General features: G+C 40.4%; 2 protein-coding genes and 3 non-coding genes across 7 annotated transcripts in view, besides 7 other annotated features; all 5 read right to left on the bottom strand.

Annotated features, from left to right (window-relative positions):
- The window catches only part of TRIM55 (tripartite motif containing 55), a 62,135-nt gene extending 59,924 nt beyond the window's left edge, over positions 1 to 2,211 (bottom strand). The window contains exons 1-2 of the mRNA XM_011517617.3: positions 1,966 to 2,211; positions 783 to 1,000 (exon numbers count right to left, since the gene is read on the bottom strand). The gene's annotated coding sequence lies outside the window, so the exon portion shown is untranslated. The remainder of the gene's footprint in view (positions 1 to 782; positions 1,001 to 1,965) is intronic.
- Positions 1,220 to 1,872: an enhancer, noted in NCBI's record as "H3K27ac hESC enhancer chr8:67025925-67026577 (GRCh37/hg19 assembly coordinates)". NCBI's record gives its function as "activates a minimal SCP1, AML or CMV promoter by ChIP-STARR-seq in naive and primed H9 embryonic stem cells {active_cell/tissue: H9 hESC(naive and primed)}" and the evidence as "EXISTENCE:reporter gene assay evidence [ECO:0000049][PMID:30033119]".
- Positions 1,220 to 2,524: a biological region, named in NCBI's record as "H3K27ac hESC enhancers GRCh37_chr8:67025273-67025924 and GRCh37_chr8:67025925-67026577".
- On the bottom strand, positions 1,301 to 1,373 carry TRA-AGC8-2 (tRNA-Ala (anticodon AGC) 8-2). Its single transcript has one exon. It is a non-coding gene; the product is annotated as a tRNA-Ala (tRNA).
- On the bottom strand, positions 1,486 to 1,574 carry TRY-GTA5-2 (tRNA-Tyr (anticodon GTA) 5-2). Its single transcript is given in 2 exon segments — positions 1,486 to 1,521; positions 1,538 to 1,574. It is a non-coding gene; the product is annotated as a tRNA-Tyr (tRNA).
- Positions 1,610 to 2,149: an enhancer, noted in NCBI's record as "active region_27473". NCBI's record gives its function as "activates an Ori minimal core promoter by ATAC-STARR-seq in GM12878 lymphoblastoid cells {active_cell/tissue: GM12878}" and the evidence as "EXISTENCE:reporter gene assay evidence [ECO:0000049][PMID:35858748]".
- Positions 1,873 to 2,524: an enhancer, noted in NCBI's record as "H3K27ac hESC enhancer chr8:67025273-67025924 (GRCh37/hg19 assembly coordinates)". NCBI's record gives its function as "activates a minimal SCP1, AML or CMV promoter by ChIP-STARR-seq in naive and primed H9 embryonic stem cells {active_cell/tissue: H9 hESC(naive and primed)}" and the evidence as "EXISTENCE:reporter gene assay evidence [ECO:0000049][PMID:30033119]".
- Positions 2,103 to 2,195, bottom strand: TRY-GTA5-1 (tRNA-Tyr (anticodon GTA) 5-1). Its single transcript has 2 exons — positions 2,159 to 2,195; positions 2,103 to 2,138 (listed from the first exon to the last, which is right to left on the bottom strand). It is a non-coding gene; the product is annotated as a tRNA-Tyr (tRNA).
- Positions 2,260 to 2,309: a silencer, noted in NCBI's record as "silent region_19251". NCBI's record gives its function as "represses an Ori minimal core promoter by ATAC-STARR-seq in GM12878 lymphoblastoid cells {active_cell/tissue: GM12878}" and the evidence as "EXISTENCE:reporter gene assay evidence [ECO:0000049][PMID:35858748]".
- Positions 2,690 to 2,769: an enhancer, noted in NCBI's record as "active region_27472". NCBI's record gives its function as "activates an Ori minimal core promoter by ATAC-STARR-seq in GM12878 lymphoblastoid cells {active_cell/tissue: GM12878}" and the evidence as "EXISTENCE:reporter gene assay evidence [ECO:0000049][PMID:35858748]".
- Positions 2,840 to 2,889: an enhancer, noted in NCBI's record as "active region_27471". NCBI's record gives its function as "activates an Ori minimal core promoter by ATAC-STARR-seq in GM12878 lymphoblastoid cells {active_cell/tissue: GM12878}" and the evidence as "EXISTENCE:reporter gene assay evidence [ECO:0000049][PMID:35858748]".
- Positions 14,317 to 18,476, bottom strand: part of DNAJC5B (DnaJ heat shock protein family (Hsp40) member C5 beta) — an 86,268-nt gene continuing 82,108 nt past the window's right edge. For all 3 annotated transcript variants that reach the window (NR_146171.2, NM_001349432.2, NM_033105.6), the window contains one exon: positions 14,317 to 15,625. Coding sequence is in view for 2 of the 3 variants with exons in the window: in NM_001349432.2 (NP_001336361.1) it covers positions 15,531 to 15,625 (95 nt within the window). In the remaining variant the exon portion in view is untranslated. The remainder of the gene's footprint in view (positions 15,626 to 18,476) is intronic.

Below are 18,476 nucleotides of genomic sequence, written 5' to 3'. Positions count from 1 at the left end.
CCTCCACTGGGTTTTGGGCGCATTACTTCCTATTCCTTTGACTTACTACTTACTTCTTGCTCTTTCGGTCACTTAAAGTTTCACTGCCAGTTCCTCCCCTCAGCCAGCTAGAACACCCATAATCCCAAACTAGAAACTGGGACATGTCATCTGATAAAATAATTCTTTTTCTTACTTTGTGAATTTGTTTTTATGAACATCCTGATGTTATATTTCAAGTAATTTACAATACATTCAACTAAAAGACTATTGAAAATAATAAAACGAGGTAAAAATGGAGACCACCCTAGAAAATGAAAGATAGCAATAAACCATACCATGTTGTATACACTGGTAACAAAAGCATACAGGTTGCCTAGGACCCTAAAGAAACATCATTTATTTGCTGTACTCCTCACAAAGGTTGATACTGTATTTCTGCCTTTGTGTGGAAGATTTGTGTTATGTCTTGTAAGAACTGCGCGGTGGCTTCAACAGCTTTTTTTCTAGAAAATTAGGATAGGGAGATTTTATTACCAGAAAAGTCTTTGTGTTCTGTGCAATCTCTGAATCTTTCAGTGAGTGTGTGGATGTGTGTTTAGGTTTTACTCGTTTTGTTGTTGTCTTGTGTTTGCTTCACAAAATTACGCTCAAGGACTGTCCTAGATAGAACTTTTATCCAATTAATTCTCTCTCAGCGCTGGTCTCTAGTTAATTCTCCACAGTTAACTTCCACAGGAGGACAATGACATTACAACCTCCTCCAACGGCAGCCCCTGTGTCCAGGGACTTTATCCACTCACCTCTCCAGGGCTACCTTTTGCCTTGTCCTATCCACCTCGGATCTGCCCAGAGCCAGGCAGTCCGCCCTGCGGACTTGAGATGGGGCCGAACAGTTCCTGCTTCCTCGGTTGAGCAAACGTTCAAAGTAATCAGCGTCCGTTTCCAAGTTCTCTGTTTCTTGTTTTGTTTTCCCTGTGGGTCTCCCCGAACTATGGGCAGCTTAGCCTCAGATGAGTCCCTGGAAATGCAGACATCTTATCACAAATCATAAAGGATTCTGAGTGATAATACATGTGACGGCAATCTGTCGCCATTTTTGAAGCAAAAATAACCAGTTTCGTGAATTTCCCCCCAATTAAATGGGTCTAAAAATTTAAAGCTAGAAGGATAAACTGCTAGCGCCCACCACTCATTGTCTGGGAAGTTTTAGAGTGGTAAGCTGGAGCTCGCCCTACTCTTCACCTGACTTCGTCTGACTTTTCAGCTCTAGTTTGGGCTGAGAATCGAAAGAAAAACCGTACGGGACAGGAAGGAAAACTGGAGGATGCGGGCATCGATCCCGCTACCTCTCGCATGCTAAGCGAGCGCTCTACCATTTGAGCTAATCCCCCACGGCTGGGCACGGCTTATTATCTGTTCCTTTAGAGAAGGGTCAGAACATTGAGCGCTGAAGACAGACTTTTTTGGTTCAAAGCAACAAAATAATGGGGGGGGGGGTGTCTCTCCTTCGAGCCGGAATCGAACCAGCGACCTAAGGATGGCCACGGGCGCGCGCCTACAGTCCTCCGCTCTACCAGCTGAGCTATCGAAGGGAGCGGGCACAGCTTCCCGGGTGCCGCCTTGTCTCCATAACATTGTGTCATTTTTAGGCTTCGTGTTTTTAGTATTGTGTTCTCTCTTTCTGATTCCCAGGTTCCGGGAGCGCCAGATACCTCTTCCCGCGGACCCCCCACCTCCTCACGGCAGCCGTTGCGAGCCCTCGGGTCGCAGAAGCTGCCCGGGGCTCTGAGGAGAAGGTCCCCGCCTGGCCCCCTGGAGCCGGCGCTGCCTCCTGTGTGACTCGGGGCCCGGGCAATGCCAAAGACGGGTTAAGAAGACGCAGAAGTCGTGACCCGGCAGTCGCTCGGCCAAGCGCAGACCCACAGCTGCGCTGGGAACCTGCCCGGACACGTTCCCGCAGGGCGAATGGCTAAAAAGAATTACCGTGCAGGCTGGGAGGCCCAAAATGGGGAGAAAGCGCTAGACTTTCAAACTGCTCGTTGGAATGCAATGTGTCACTGAAGGCACCCAAGGAAAGTGCCATAAGTCATCGGGAGCTGGAGAAAAAAACCGCACTTGTCTCCTTCGAGCCGGAATCGAACCAGCGACCTAAGGATGTCTCCTGCTGAGGAAGTAGCTACAGTCCTCCGCTCTACCAGCTGAGCTATCGAAGGGACGTGTACGTGTGTCGGCGTCCCCTGAGGTTCAGCACAGAAAAACCGGAGCGCTAGTCCAGGCAACCGAAGATTGCACTGAGCATGCGTAATCCGAGGAGCGCAGAGCCCCAGAGCCGGCCTGTGTGCTCTACGCGTGCGCAGAAAGACAGAACGCTCCGGCTCGCTAGCCTGACTGACCCGGGAAAGGCCCTCAACCCAGGTGTCTGGGGTCCGCGATGCCAAGACCCTGCGATTCCACCGCCCCCCCTTGTCGTACTTTTCCTTTACCAGCCTGCGTTGTCCTTTAAAGTGGTTGCCGAGTGTGTTCTCAACACACAGTAATCCAACGGCGACTGAAGGAGTAGCGTGGTAGGCCAGTGGCGCAAGGGATAACGTGTCTGACCACGCATCAGAAGATTGTAGGTCCAGCTCCTGCCTGGCTCGGCATTATTGTCACTTGAGGTTAACAAACCAGAAATCATTACCTCCTCTGGCGTCCCCAAACCGCGAATGCCAGCAGTTTGGATTTCTGCAGTGTCCGTTGCACTTTGAGCCCGGGAGGCCTTACCAGCGCCACCGGTCCAACTCCCGCGGGGTGAAGGGAAGGCCCCGAGGGTCTCGGAACGCCCCCGGCAGGCAAGCCGGGTTAGGAAGACGCCACTGAAGCCCGGGGTTCTGTAGACAGAGCTGGTTCCACCGCATCTACTAAGACATCAGAGTCACTAAGTTCCTAGAGAAAGTCCCCTCACCAACCCCCGGCTAAGCAAAGAGAGGGAAGAAGATCACATAGAATGTCTTTTTGATCTGGTTCCTATTTTATGTTTAATTTTAAAAAGTTATTCAATCCCAGATAGGCTTATAATCCTGCTTCGTCGGCCTATTTTTGTAAGGTCATAGCGTTTATAAATTGTTAAGGTTTGCTGCCATATTCCCACTCAGTTGTTAGCGTAGCGTAAAAACCATCCAACGACCTGGGTTTTGCCCTTAGAGATCTTTTAACCAAGAAGGCATCATGTTGGTTTGGGCAAACTGAGTTTCTATTTTAATGTTATTATAGTAATATTTGTGGAAGGGAGATTGGAATTATTTCTTAAATCTCCCCTGTAAGATAGCAGTTCCCAAAAGTAAAAGCTTTAATAAAATGTAAAATTAGGGAAGATAAAATACGAAGTTAGAGAAAAGAAAAGGGCTGGATTTTTAAGTGGGAAAGCGGCTTCCTTAAGACTGCACAAACATGAGATTATTTTTGTTTCCTGGTGAACATTTTGCCATTTTTGCATGTAACAAGCCGACGTATCTTTAAAGTTATACAGCATTTCTGAGAGTTTGAGAAAATGACCTCTGAGAGGTGGGGGAGGTGAGTTGTACCCCTCTGGCTCAAGTTTGTGGACAGAACCATGAAAATCAGGCTAAGAGAAAAGTGCCTCCTTTTAGTCCTACCTTCTCCTTATTTTACAAAGGTGGCGAGCAGGGTGTTTATTAAATTATTATTTTCATTATTTTTTAGAAACAGAGTCTTGCTTTGTTACCCAGGTTGGGGTGCAGTGATGCCATCATAGCTCACTGCAGCCTCAAACTTCTGAGCTCAAGTGCTTCTCCTGCCTCAGCCTCCTGGAATTACAGGCATGTGCCACCTCACCTGGCTCTGGCTTTGTTGCCCAGGCTGGTCTTGAACTCCTGGCTTCAAGTGATCTTCCCGCCTCAGCCTCCCAAAGTGCTGGGATTAAGGCACGAGCTACCATACCTAGCCAAGCCCTCTTCCCCAACAGCCAACCTTACTTGAGTAATAGGTTTCAGGGAGGCCAAACGTGTGATTTTTGGCCTTCTTACTTGTAAGTGACAGAAATTCACAAGAGTTAGTATAAGCAAGACATTTATTTTAATGATACAGGGGTGTCCCCAGGAAAGCAGAGATGAAATGTAACTAGGCCTTCTTAAAGGTTTCTCTCTCAGTGTTTCTCAGCTCTGCTCTAGTGCACACAGTTGGAAACATGGTGCTGTCCCCCACCCTAAAAGTTCTGGAGCTTTATTCTTCACAGTCTATCACACAGAGAGTCACTTCTCTTTCTCAGGCCTGACTGCAAAACTCTCCATTATTCTTGGCCTCACTTAGGTGCTCACCCACTGTGTCCAGGGATCAGGATTACATGTATGAAGGTTGGGCGCATACGACTATACCCCTTCCTCCCCAGGAGTACATTGAAAAGATGATAAAAATACACAAAAGAAAAAAAATCTATTGCAACATGGAAAACTACAGTAGGTATAAGTAACAAATAGAGATTTTAAATAACTTCTACAAGGTGAAAATCAAATGAGATTATAATGGAGAAAAACACAGCTCCAAATGCACATTCTGTAAGCTAGCAGAGACAAAACCATTCTCCCCATGGAGCTCACAAGAGACTCCACGCACAGAGGCAGCAGCACAGAGGTCAGCCGCCCACAATGTTGTGCAGCCGTTGCTGAATTTTTTGCCAGGGAGATCCCACTGGAGAATGGCTTAAGTAGAGTAGATTTGCCAGACTAGAGCCTGTGGAGTGGTATAGGGCTAGGGAGTAGGGCAGAGTAGAGCCTAATAGAGATGGAAGGAACAGGAAGGCCACCGTACCCAACTCTCAGAGCGAGTTCTTTCTTGAGTTGGCAGGTTGGAGGATCTTGGGCCAGCATGGCTGTTCTCCACTCATGCACCATAAATGCAAAGCCTGATAGTCCGCAGGACACAGCCATTTTTACAGATAGCAATGTATCATGAAGGACACGTTATGTTTACCAGACATTTGGGAGGAAATAACAACAACTTCAAAAAGAAAGTCCAAGATGAACAAGTTAAATAAATGACCGAGGAGAAAACAAATAATGCAAAGAATAGAACAGAACTATTTAACAAAAAAGTAGTTAGGGATATCCTCAAGGACATCCAAGAGAGAGTTACAGCAATGAAAACCAAAATACAGTGATATTAACAGGAGCAACTAGGGAAGAAGAGAGTTCCTGAATACTAAAAGTATGATTGCTAAGGTGAAAAGTAACATACTGGTCATGGCTAAAGATCAGCTATGAAGATATAGAAGATAGAATGGAAAATATATCCCAGGACATCAGACCATGGAAAGCAAAAAATAAAAACATGACACTGGGTACAGTGGCTCACCCCTGTCATTCCAGTACTTTGGGAGGCCAGGGCGGGAGGATTGCTTGAAGCTAAGAGTTTGGGACCAGCCTGGGCAACAAAGCAAGACCCCCATCTCTACAAAAGATACGAAAATTAGCTAGACATGGTGGTGTTTACCTGTAGTCCCAGCTACTTGGGAGGCTGAGGCAGAAGGATCTCTTGAGCCCAGGAGTTCAAAGCTGCTGCGGGCTATGATTGATTGCACCATTGCACTCCAGCTCCTGGGACAGAGTGAGATCTGGTTATACACACACACACACACACACACACACACACACACACACACCAAAAAAAAGATAGAAAAGAAAAAAAAAAGAAAAGATAGATCCTGAAGACATAAAGAGTATCTAATATGAGCTCCAGAAAGAGAAAACAGAGACAATGCAGGGGTAAGAATAAAAGAAAGACATTGGTCATCAGATGGAAAGGATCATGCAAGTTAGGATGAATGAAAAATAACCATGCCTGGACACAGCCTAGTGACATTCAAAAGCATTGAGGATAAAGATGAAACCCTGTAACTTTCAGAGATGGAGGAAAACAAAGCAAAATCTAAACAAGAACTAGGCTAGCTACAAAGGAATAAGAATTGGATTATGATCAGACTTCTCATCATCATTACTGGATGCTAGAAGACAGTTGAGCATGGCCTTCAAAGCTCTGCAAAGAAATAATTTTAAGCCTAGAATTGTATGCCAATCAAAGTAGCAATCACATATGAGGACTAATAGTTCATAGTTGCAAGGTCTCATAAAGTTTAAATCTATGATTCCTCTCTGAAACAAATAAAAAGTAAGTAAACATTATTTGAGGATGTTGTACTGGATGGGTTCTCCAGTAAGCTGAAGCTCATGCAGAATTAGAGCACAACATTTTACAGGGGAGTAACATCTGTGAATGGAAAAGGGGAGGACACAGGATTGGGTAGGGGTAGTCATTAGACAGTGATGCAGACCCGACAAAGTTTCTGCCAACCCTCTTGGTGGCTCCAGAGCAAAGATTTCCTTTTGGAGGAGTCTCAAGTTGGGCAGAAATGGTGGGGCCCTAGCATCACCACCTTGCTCAGTCATTGGCCAGAGGCTTAGAACCTTGGCTAGAGGAGTTAACACCTGATGGCTACTAGTTAACCATCCTCCTTGCAGCTGGGCAGTGAGTTCTTTCTTGAAAGGCAGTCTAGCAGCATGTCTCTGTGTATGCCATGGATGTACTTCAGCAAAGCAAAGTAAGAATCCAAGAAGGAGGAGTACACAGGATTTAAGAAAAAAGGAAACCAACCCAGGGACTCAATGAAAAGAAAATCTCAGGTTGACAGTGATGCAGCTGGCAAAGAAAGCAATCAGGACAAATTAAGGGGAGGAAAAAAAAGTTAGAGGGCTCTGGGAAGTTTATTTTTCAAAAAGAAGCGGATTCTTTTACAATAGTAGTGTGATTAAGGATCTGGGAGACCTTAGAGATATGATAAAGGCACATGTCACTTTTCTCAAAAAGACAGAACGAAGATACTCAGGGATTTCTAAAAAAAACAAAAAAACAAAAAAAAACTTTATAAAAAATACGTGGTTCAAATATAAAGCAAACTGAAATATGGCACAATTTTGAGAAATTGATGGCATGCTTGTTGTTGGGCTGAATTGTGTTCTGTCTTCCCTCCCCACCCCAATTTATTTGTTGAAGACCTAACCCCTAGTACTTCAGAATGTGACTGTATTTGGAGATAAGGCCTTTAAAGAGGTAATTAAGCAAAAATGAGGTCATTAGGGTGCACCCTGATCCAATACAACTGGTGTCCTTATAAGGAGAACAGAATACAGAGACAGCAGGCACATGCATGCATAGAGAGAAGGCTACAGGAAGACGCAGGGAGAAGACGGCCATCTACAAGCCACGGAGAGAGGTCTCAGAAGAAACCAAACCTGCCAATACCTTGAGCTTAGACTTCTAGCCTCTAGAAGTGTGAGAAAACAAATTTATCTTTTTAAAAGCCACCCAGTCTGTGATATTTTGTTATGATAGCCCTAACAAACTATATGGGGATGGTGAAGAAATTTGCTTTTGTTTCTGCATTTTTTGACATCATTACATTTTTGTTTAACCATATGTAAGTTATTTTACATAACACGTATGGGTCAGAGTGTCCCATAATTGTCATCTAATTATAGATATTCTGTAATAAAAATTGCTTAAGAATGAAGAAACTGAGGCCCAAATATGTGAAATGACTTATCCAAGGTAACAGAGGGGAGAAGTGGCATATGAGATCTTAGGCCTCCTGAATCACAGCCAGGGCTTTCTGTAGCACTGCTTGGTCTCTCTGTCCTCAGATGGACACTTGGGTTAGGGATATTGGGCTGGCAGCTGCTACTCTGGGAGGAAGGAGGTTGAAAGGCAGGTTCTGATGCCAGTACGGTCAGAAAATGGACATTCTGGGAGTAGAAAAGCGTTTCATCTATTAAAGGTTATTCTCTTCTCACCTCTAAATCCAAAGGTGAAATCCCTTAAATTTGTTAACAGCAGTGCTCCAAGGAGGTGTGTCAAGACTCCGTGAAATGTGAAAAAAAAAAGCCATTGTTTATTTGAAAAATTATTCCTTAGACATATGTGCACTAAAGAGCTTTCAAGTTTTTCCTTTCAGTCAAGGAAACCATTCTACAGATCAGGAAGCTCTACCCAGAAAGATTAAACAATGTCTTTAGGATGACCATCCAGATTAGGGGAGCAAGGCTGTATTCAGGCTTACTGACTTATCCATGGTTTTCTCTAAATATGCACCATCTCCAAGAAGGATATTTGTGAGAAACCACAGAGATGTTGTTTCTAGGTCAGAAAGGGAACTATTCTGGGGAATTCCAGGGAAGGTACACTTGATTCTCATTATTCGTGTAATTACATTGTATAAAGTCATTTTGAACTCTGATTTAGTGAATGCTGAAAACATTGCTCCCAGGGGAAATAAACGGAGGCTCTGGCCATAATGTTTTTGTCAACTGATCAATGGATAATCTTGTTTTATGTGTGTTTCTGTTGAAGGACACCTTATTTAATACAGTTGATCCTTGAAAAACAAGAATTTAAACTGGGTAGGTCCATTCATACATAGATTTTTTTCAATGAATATATTGGAAATTTTTTTGGAGATCTGCAACAATTTGAAAAAACTTGACATGAGCCAAATAGCCTACAAATATTAAAAAATTAAGACAAAGGTATATCATGAATGCATGAAATATATGTAGATAGTAGTCTATTTTGTCATGTATTACCATAAAATTTTAAGAAGTTAAAATTTCTCAAAACTTATACAAACCCAAATTGTACATGGCACCATGCACAGTTAAAAGAAATGTGAATAAACATAAAGATGCAATATTAAATCACAGCTGCATAAAATTAACCATAGTACATACTGTACTACTGTGATAATTTCATAGCCACCTCCCATTGCTACTGTGGTGACCTCAAGTATTTCGAATATCTGCTTAAAATGCCATGTACGTGACTTTAATAATCTCCCTATGAGCAGTTTGTCTCTCCAGCAAATTGCCTGTGGCAGTAAAAAGTGATCTCTTGTGGGTCTCGAGGATTTTTTAATTGTAGTGAAATACCACAAACCTTGAATAACACCACAGGACCCATACGAAGTGCCACTCATGATGCTGGATATGCTCCCAAGAAGCAGAGAAAAGTCTTGATCCAAAAAGAAAAAGTTGAATTGCTTAATATGGACCATAGATTGAGGTCTACAGCTGTGGTTGCCAGGCATTTCAAGATAAATGAATCCAGTGTAAGGACCTTTGTGAAGCCGTCACTACAGCTGGCTAGCAGGCATGAAACCCTTGCACGTTTTGCCAAAAACCTCTTTATCTTGTATTGAAAATGCAGCTTTTACATGGGTACGGAATTGCTCTAAGAAAGACATACCTATAGACTCTAATATAATTCCAGAAAAAACAAAGTCATTATATGACAACTTAAGGCAAAAGGAAGGGGAAGGGTCTAAAGCTGGAGAATTTAATGCCAGCAAAGGAAGGTTTGATAATTTTAGAAAGCAGTTTTGGCTTTAAAAATGTCAAGATAACAAGAGCAGCTTCCTGACCAAGAGGCAGCAGGTGAATTTCTGGATGTCATTAAGAAAATCATTGAGGAGAAAAGAGATCTGCCTGAATGGTATTTAATGCAGATGACAATGCCCTATTCTGGGAAAAAAAAATGTCACAAAGGACATGTATTAGTAGGGATGAGAAGTGAGCCCCAAGATTTAAGGCAGGAAGGGATAGGCTACCTCTACTGTTTTGTGCAAACGCCATTGGGTTTATGAGTCAGACTGCCCTTATCTGTGAAGCTGCTAACAACCAAGCCTTGAAGGAAAAAGATAAAACACCAGCAGCCAGTCTTTTGGTTGCACAACAAGAAGGCCTGGACAATGAGAACCCTTTCTCTGGATTGCTTCCATCCATGCTTTATCCTTGAAGTCAGGAAGTACCTTGCCAGTAAGGTACTATCTTTTAAAAAAATTCTTTGATATTGAACAATGCCCCTGGCCACTCACAACCCCACAGTCTACTATACCCAGACCAAGCCCCTTTGTCTTGCCACATCCCTAATATTTATCATTCTTTGTTTAAAAAGGTACTTAAGCTTTTGGACCTAATGTCTTCTTTGGGTCTTCATTTTTCTTATAAAGACTTCCATGGACATATAAATATTAAATAAGATGCGTATGCTTTTCTCCTGTTAATATGTTTTATGCTATTATCGTTTAATTCTTAGGCCCAGCCACAGAACCTAAGATGACAGAAGGAAGTATTTCCTCCCCTACAGTTTGTGTAAAGAAAGTTTGTCCTCTTCTAGGTAGGTAACTCCACAAATATGGAATGAAGATTGACTGCATTATTCACCCAAATGCAATCCTGAATTATATGCCAAATCACTACATCAAAAGATATTTAATGAGACCAAGCCCCAGCCTACCTCCCCTTTGAAGGGGGTTAACATTTGTACTACTGGGAGATGGCAAGGCCAACCCATCTCATTCCCAGGGCTCTGTAAGTCCTGAAAGCTCACTTGCAGTCTTCCATGCTCGGGGAAGTGGGAGCATCATCTTGCTCATACAGCATCTTTCCGAAAGGTATGATTGGTGGTGGTGGGAGGGTGTGGCCAGGAGGTTTTCTTCAGAGACTCACATTTATTCTTTTATTTAAATGTTTATTTAGTCTGTACTATGTGCTAGGCATTGTTCTAGAGCTGAGGATAAGGATACAGCAGTAAGCAAAGCAGACAGAAATCTCTATCTTGGTGAAGCACACATTCTGGAAGGGTAAATAGACAATAAGAAGACAATAAATAATATATACAGTAGGCTGTACAGTAATGAATGCCAAAGAGAAAAATAAAGCACAGTAGAGCAGGAGTGTGGCAGGTGTTGTGCTTCCTATAATGGCAAAATGACACAGATGACCGGAAGCAAAATAAATTGCTTATGGTATATAGACATCTATGTATATATACACACATGCACACACCACACACATATATTCATACACATATACACACACAAATGTATTCATACACATGAACATACACACGTTCTTTATTTTAAATGGCAACAAAGTTCTTTTTAAAAATTTGCAAATTGTATTTCCTTTGTATAATACTATGAAAAATAATAAAGCATTGCTAATTTAGTAGTCTGGCAGATTCAATGGTATATTTTTACTTCATAATTTGTATCATATTTTGTACAATGGAGAAATTGGGTAGAATTTCACTTTTATTATGAATGGATAACATGAAAATATTTTACTTCTAATTGTATGAGTGATATTAAGATGCCTTATTTTTATATATAGTAACAAATGTTCCCACCCCAATCTTATGGACTCAGAATAATAGAGCAAATTGTATTAACTTGGATTTATAAGCTTATGGTATCCACTTTTGGTGAGAGGGACAAATTAGAACATACTCAATGTATACACTATTTTGACATTAAATAAGCAGTTGTAAATCCAAGTTTACAGAATTCAGATATGTCTTAGGGCACCAAGGTGGCATAGTAATTAAGCAGACAGATGCTACAACCAGACTAGCTGAGTTCAAATGCTGGCTCTCCCATTATTAACAGCCTGAGTTAATTAATGACTCTCTGCTGCCCAATTTTCCCATCTGTGAAATGGGAAATAGTAATTGTGCCTACCTCATAGGGTTGCTGTGTGAATTACATGAGTTAACTTATATTAAGCAGCTAGAATCGTGTCTGGCACATAGTAAGCACAACATATGTTTGCTATTTTATCTTTAAAAGTTTTCTCGGCACTATCTAAACATCCTGGAAAATTATGTCAGGAAGTTATGTATCAGAATTTTTAAAATCACAATTATTAGAACCAGCTGCTCTAGAATCACTTTGAAAATTTTTTAAAAATCCAACTTTTCACTTGATTAGGGTTGCAGTTATGGGTTAGTCAGAGAAGAGAAGGTGGTAAAGACATAGCTGCTAAGACCACAGAGATCTCCCAAATAAGGAAGTGCTGGGGTGGCGGGGAGCGGGGAGAGGAAGAAAAAGGGGAAGGGGAAGGAGTGGGAGTGAAGTAAGAGATATAGGAAGCCTTCAGATTTGCTCTTGAGGAAGTCACAGGGAATTAACAAGGAAGATTTCTTAGGGGAATCTCCTTGAGCTGCAAAGGGCAGTTGAAGAGAAAGGTAGTTAATAAAGGGAGTGACACAGTGAGTATATTCTCTTGAAAGTCAGAGAACTCTGGGAAAGAGTTGGATGGGGAGTGGGGAAGAGACTAGGATTCATGTTCAAGAACAAATGTAGTTGGAAACACAAGGTCATCCTGGAGAGGCTATATAGTGCAGCTGTTAATATTGTGGCCTCAGGACCAGCCTGCTCTACTCCATAGCTAGGTGTTCTTAGCCAAGTTACTTATCTTTTCTGTGTTCCAGTTACATAGTCTAGAAAATGACAGATGATGATGGTGACAGTACTTCTCTCACAGGTTGTTGTATTAAATGAATCAATATAAAGCTCTTAGGGCAGTGTCAGGTACTAAGCACTACGACTCTTGGTTATTATTCTCTTAGAAATTTTATTTTTAATTTGTGAAAGAATAAATCATCTTTCTCAAATACAAGTAAATGCACTTATGAGCCTAAGGCCAACACTTTCAAATCCTCTATTTTGGGGGATGGGATGCTAAGGGAAGAGGTAAAAGAGAGAGCTAAGAAATGCAGAATGTGAGTAGGAAGGTAACTCATTTTATTTTGTTAAAACTTTACCCTTTGACTCAGAATAACATGTATCTTTCAAGTTTTGGTAGCTGATTTTCTAGTATGTTACACATTGATTTAAAAAAATAATTTCCATGCCAAATACAATAAAAACTTTTTTGAAATGAAGGCATTTTATATAAAACTATTATGCTAATAAGTTAATCAATGTAGCCGGGCACGGTTGTTCACACCTGTAATCCCAGCACTTTGGGAAGCCTAGGCGGGTAGATCACCTGAGGTCAGGAGTTCGAGATCAGCCTGGCCAACATGGTGAAACCCTGTCTCTACTAAAAATACAAAAATTAGCTGGGTGTGGTGGCACGTGACTGTAGTCTCAGCTACTCGGGAGACTGAGGCACAAGAATTGCTTGAACCCAGGAGGCAGAGATTGCAGTGAGACTCTGTCTCAAAAAAATAATAATAATAAGTTAATTAATGTATAGACAGTTTTTTCATTCTAGATATAGAATGTCGCTTATTCTAAAAGAATTGAGATATATATGTGTGTGTGTGTGTGTTTTGGTAAAGAAAAATGCACATGTATTTTTTTATTATGTTCTACTGTAAGACAGCAAAAAAATAAATGGATGACTCATGGAACTTTTTAAGAAGTCTCCTATTCCAGTAGCACAGTGCCCAGGAGAGGTGGTGAGCTGTTGACACGGGCTGTTCATTGGACTCTGTGTGACCACTGATGAGGCTCACGCTCAGCATTTCTCTTCTTGCCTTGAAGCTTCCCTGCTAAGGGAAGACTTCTTGTGGGTTCAGAATGACTGCCAGTGCTTCTTGGATAGCACTTCTGTAGACCCCCACAATATACTTCAGCAGCTCCTCCTCTGATGAAGAGTGGATTCTTGTATCTCTGTAGCTGAAGGAGTATTCTGCAGAATTCATTCCCTCATTCATAGGTATTCAAGTGTTTGCATTTGTCACACATCATTGTAACCAGAAACTAGCCCTTTGTGAGGAACATTGGCCAGAACCCCTCTAGCAATTTGATTCTACCATCTGATTCTGATTCTGATCCATGTCCTGTTCTCATCTTAACCACTCTTGGACCAGCTTCCTGGGGAACTAGGAGTGGAAGCAAAAAATTCCATGTGAGAAAGGAAAATGAGGTCTGGGCAAGAAAGAGAAGGTGAGCTTTGTAATTTGTAAGTTGCTTTTCAAAATAGACCTGACCTTTTGCTTAAAAAGGCCACAGGAAGGAAATGGAATGGCTCAAATTATCCACAGATTGCGCTATTTATCCTATTGTTTCCTCCAAATGGAAAGTAGCATTTGTTTGTTGAATACAGCGTTCCAAGCACTTGCTGGTTACTGGAGCTGTTAATACTGGGTGTCTCCATGGGTCTTGTTGGGTGAGAGAGTTTATATGCATCAAGAGTCATAGTACATTTGTCTGTGTGCGTCAACATATACAAATTCATTTAAAACCACCTTACATTTGTTGAACATTTGACTTTTCAGATTTCTTTCACTTCAGCCATTTTATCTGGTCATCCAGCAACTTGGAAGGTGGTCAGGGCAGATATGAAAACAGAGCCATAGAGAGATTAGCCATGTTATTTTCATCTCACTTGGTCACAAGGCTAGTTAATGAAAGCTTAGATTAGAACCAGGTTTCTTAGCTTTCAAACCAAGGCTCTGTCTACTTGATTGCCTAGAAAAAGAATTTCAGTAACTAAAGAGTTAGAGTGGAATTTTAATGACCTCAGAACTATCAGAGCTATAACACTAATTCTCACTTACAATATATATTTAGCAGCAATTAACTATAATTTTTTGGGTGGGAATAAGAAACAAGAAAAAAGATAAAGGCATTTTATACAATATTATATAAAAACATAACAAGATCTTGAAAATGCAATATTATATAAAAAAGTAAGAAAGAGCTAGAAAAACGAACACTTTTTCTGCCATAGTATTTTAGAAATAGCACATGGTTTCTACCACATAATAAATACAAGAATCAAACAAGCAAATGCAGAGATGACCTCTGGGCTTAAATTGTGTAACATGCACAGAGCTGAGCAATTTCTGGTCAAGGCAACTAATTTTAACAAAAATGAGGTGATACATGTTTTGGTGTAAATTTAGGCTCTAGAGTATAGAGTTCTACCCCTTCATCTGTTTTTTTTCCCTTAGTCTGGCTAATCTGAGCCAGTTATACAAAAATTATTTTACTAGAAAATGATCAACATGCTGATGGGGCGGGTTCAGGCTCAGAATGATTTTCTGGTTCACTTACAACATTTAACCAGGTTGAAGTTTTGTTTTGTTTTGTTTTTAAGCCAATCTAAAAGTACACACAAAACCTGTTTCTTCCTGGTTTCCAGTTTTCAGTAAATGCCAATTTTTAATGTTCCAAAAATATACCTTAAAAATGTGATTTAAAAAAAAATCATCCCTTTCTGGCTCTTGAAACATTTCTATAACTTTATTGAATATTGACACGGAAGAGGCTCCACACACAAAAACTCTTTATAAGTTCTCATATATTTTGATGATCATGTTCGTGGTAGATATGAATATTGTGTTAAATGTAAGAAAAGTGGCTTTTGTTCTGGAATATTACTTTGGTCAGTTAGGAATCAGATCTGCCACACATAAAGGGCAGGTTCATAAAGGCTGTACAATTCCACTGTCCTACATCAGGCAAGGAGGGTAAAATAACTCTTCAGGCCTTTATTCACCCAAATTGAATGTGTTTCATAAGAAATTCTACTCAGAGAGAAAGTCTGCATACTGAGAAAATTATATAGCAATCATGTTTTCCTAACCCAAAAATAAAACAACAAGATGGAAAAGTTCACAGCACTTTATGCCCCACACGCTCCCCTACGACCATCTGGAGACAAGACTGAACTGAGAGGAGGGACTGTGGACTCTCTGAGGGCTCAATATCAAGAGTCTGTGCAATAACTTCGAGATCCTTCTTTGATTAGCTGTGTTTTCTCATTTGCATTTGTAGGCTGGAGAAAAACTGGAAAGTCCACATCTAAAAATAAACAAAGCAAAGCAATAAACACTCTCATCATGTTACAGTTCTTTTAATGAAGCAAGTGATAGGTATTTTTGTTGAATTCATGACTGGCAAATCAACTCAATTCATAAGATATCAATATACCTACCATTTTAAGGACTTCGAAAGGGAGGAGGCACTGTCTTTACTCTATTCAAATTTTGTCAGTTATGGAATTATAAAACCAAAGCACCAAACCCAGCTTTCACCTGGAGGGCACTTGCTGAACCTGGTGAACTTGAACTTTAGTTTTCACCATCTTGTGGGAATACAGACAGAACCATCATATACAGTTGTGCAGATTGGAAACTGAACATTATCAAAGGGCACCTTTCATATAGACTACAACGTATATCTACAGGAAAGGTATAGTTTATATGAAAGATGCACCCTGGCATTATGTAGTGTACAATTGGATGACTGGCCCTTGTTGGGACAGGAGTCAAAACTGAGAGTTTGCTTAGAGGGAGAGTCTAATAGAAATCTCCTCACATAAAGCTAGTGCCCAAAATGGTTATGCTTTCTCTAAAATCACTAAATCTACTCCTAAATCTACAGAGAGATTTGTTAGCCTTTGATTTGGGTGCTGAGTTGAGAAAGCTGCCCCAAAAATGTTCAATGGCAAGCCAATGAATACACAAGTTGGCAGACCAAGTTTTCAATACCTCTGTGTTCTGAGAAACCTCAAGATGATAATTTAGTTTAAAGAGGTCCAGTGCAAGATGTGCTCTCAAGCACTTAGCAAAAGTGAATGACCTCACCTTCAACCTAGGCCTCAAAATATCATTATAAAATTGCAAGAAACATGAGCTCATAATAAAAACTATTAGAGGTAGAGAAATAGAAGTTGTGTGTGTGTGTGTGTGTGTGTGTGTGACAGAGAGAGAGACAGAGAATTAGAGAGAGAGAGAGAGACAGAGAGAGACAGACAGAGAGACAGAGATTACATATGGAAACAATGCATGCTAAGATCCAATATAAACAGCAGAAGGCTAAATCAGACCCAGAAAGACTTCAATAACTGCTTTTATCAGACACAGAATACAAAAGAATTATGTTTTAAAAGTAATTAAATAAATTAAGTAAAATAATAGATCATAAAAATTTTAAACAGAATTTCTGGAGATTAAAACATGGAAAAAACCTTCATGAATTGGCTTAACAGCTAAAGAAAGAATTAGTGAAGTAGAAGACAGATTGGAAGAGATTATCCAAAATTTAAGAGAGACAAAGAGAAAATATAAAAGAGGTCAAAGGACATGATGGATAGAATTATAAGGTCTAACATATCTAACATAACTTTCAGAAAGAAAAAAAAAAGAGAGACAATATTTGAAGATTTGATGGCTGAGCCTATTCTAGAATTGATGAAATACACCAATCCATAGATCCAAGAACAAGCCAGGATAAATTAAAGAGTGCAGTGGCTTACTCCTGTAATCCCAGCACTTTTGGAGGCCGAAGCAGGTGGATCATGAGGTCAGGAGATCAAGACCATCCTGGCCAACATGGTGAAACTCTGTCTCTACTGAAAATCCAAAAATTAGCTGGGCGTGGTGGCACACACCTGTGGTCCCAGTATTCAGGAGGCTGAGGCAAGGAGAATTGCTTGAACCCAGGAGGCAGAGGTTGCAATGAGCTAAGATCACGCCACTGCACTCCAGCCTGGTGACAGAGTGAGACTCTGTCTCAAAGAAAAACAAAAAAATCATATTTAAAACATCTTAGTCACATTGCAGAACAAAAGATAAAGATTTTGGGCTGGGTGCAGTGGCTCACGCCTGTAATCCCAGCACTTTGGGAGGCCGAGGCAGGCAGATCACCTGAGGTCAGGAGTTCAAAACCAGCCTGGCCAATGTGGTGAAACCCCGTCTCTACTAAAAGTACAGAAAAAGATTAGCCAGGCCTGGTGGCAGGTGCCTGTAAGCCCAGCTATTTGGGAGGCTGGGGCAGGAGAATCGCTTGAACCCAGGAGGTGGAGGTTGCAGTGAGCCAAGATTGTGCCACTGCACTCCAGCCTGGGTGACAAGAGCGAAACTCCGTCTCAAAAAAAAAGAAAAGACAAGGATATTAAAAGCAATCTTACTTCTCAATAGCAAATATGGAAGCTAAAACTATGGAGCTAAAAAAACTGTGAAGCTAAAACATATTGAAACTATGTCTCCAATATACTGAAAGAAGACATCAACCTATATTTTTTGACAAACCCTCTTAATAAGTTACATTTCTTTTTTAAAAGAGCATGATAAAGATATTTTCAGTCAGTAAAAACAAATTTTTCTAACTGCAGACCCAATTTAGAGATATAATTCAGGCAGAAACAGTTATCAGATGAAAGAATTGAGCTGTAAAAAGAAAATAATTGAAAAAAAAACCCAGAAAATATGTCAGTAAAACCAAATAATTATTGAATATACAAAGCAATAATAAAAATTTACGAGGCTTAAAATTGAGAAAAATCTAAAATATAAAAATAATGTATAAGTCAGAAATAGGTTGATCAGGGTTAACGTGTTACAAAATTCTTGTATTGTTCAAGAGGAGGGTAAAGATAAGAATTGACTTTAAACTTTGACAAATTAAGTACATTTGATAAATTTTCAGGGTAATTCCAAAAGAACAGAAAAGAGAATATAATTTCCAAATCAGAGGACAGAAGGAAATCAAATAAGAAAAGACACTCTGACAATTTAAAAGAAAAAAAAAAAAAGAAACAGGAAAAACATGTCAACTTAAAGTGATAAATATAATGATAAAAAAATTACCAGAAAGTAGGTATATGTATATATCTTATTACATGTCCAGCAGTGTTCTTAGCACTTTATGT

This window comes from Homo sapiens, chromosome 8 (assembly GCF_000001405.40).
Source record: "Homo sapiens chromosome 8, GRCh38.p14 Primary Assembly".
Lineage (NCBI taxonomy): Eukaryota > Metazoa > Chordata > Mammalia > Primates > Hominidae > Homo > Homo sapiens.
Note: the sequence above shows the minus strand (reverse complement) of the source record. Positions and strands in the feature narration are given on the sequence as shown.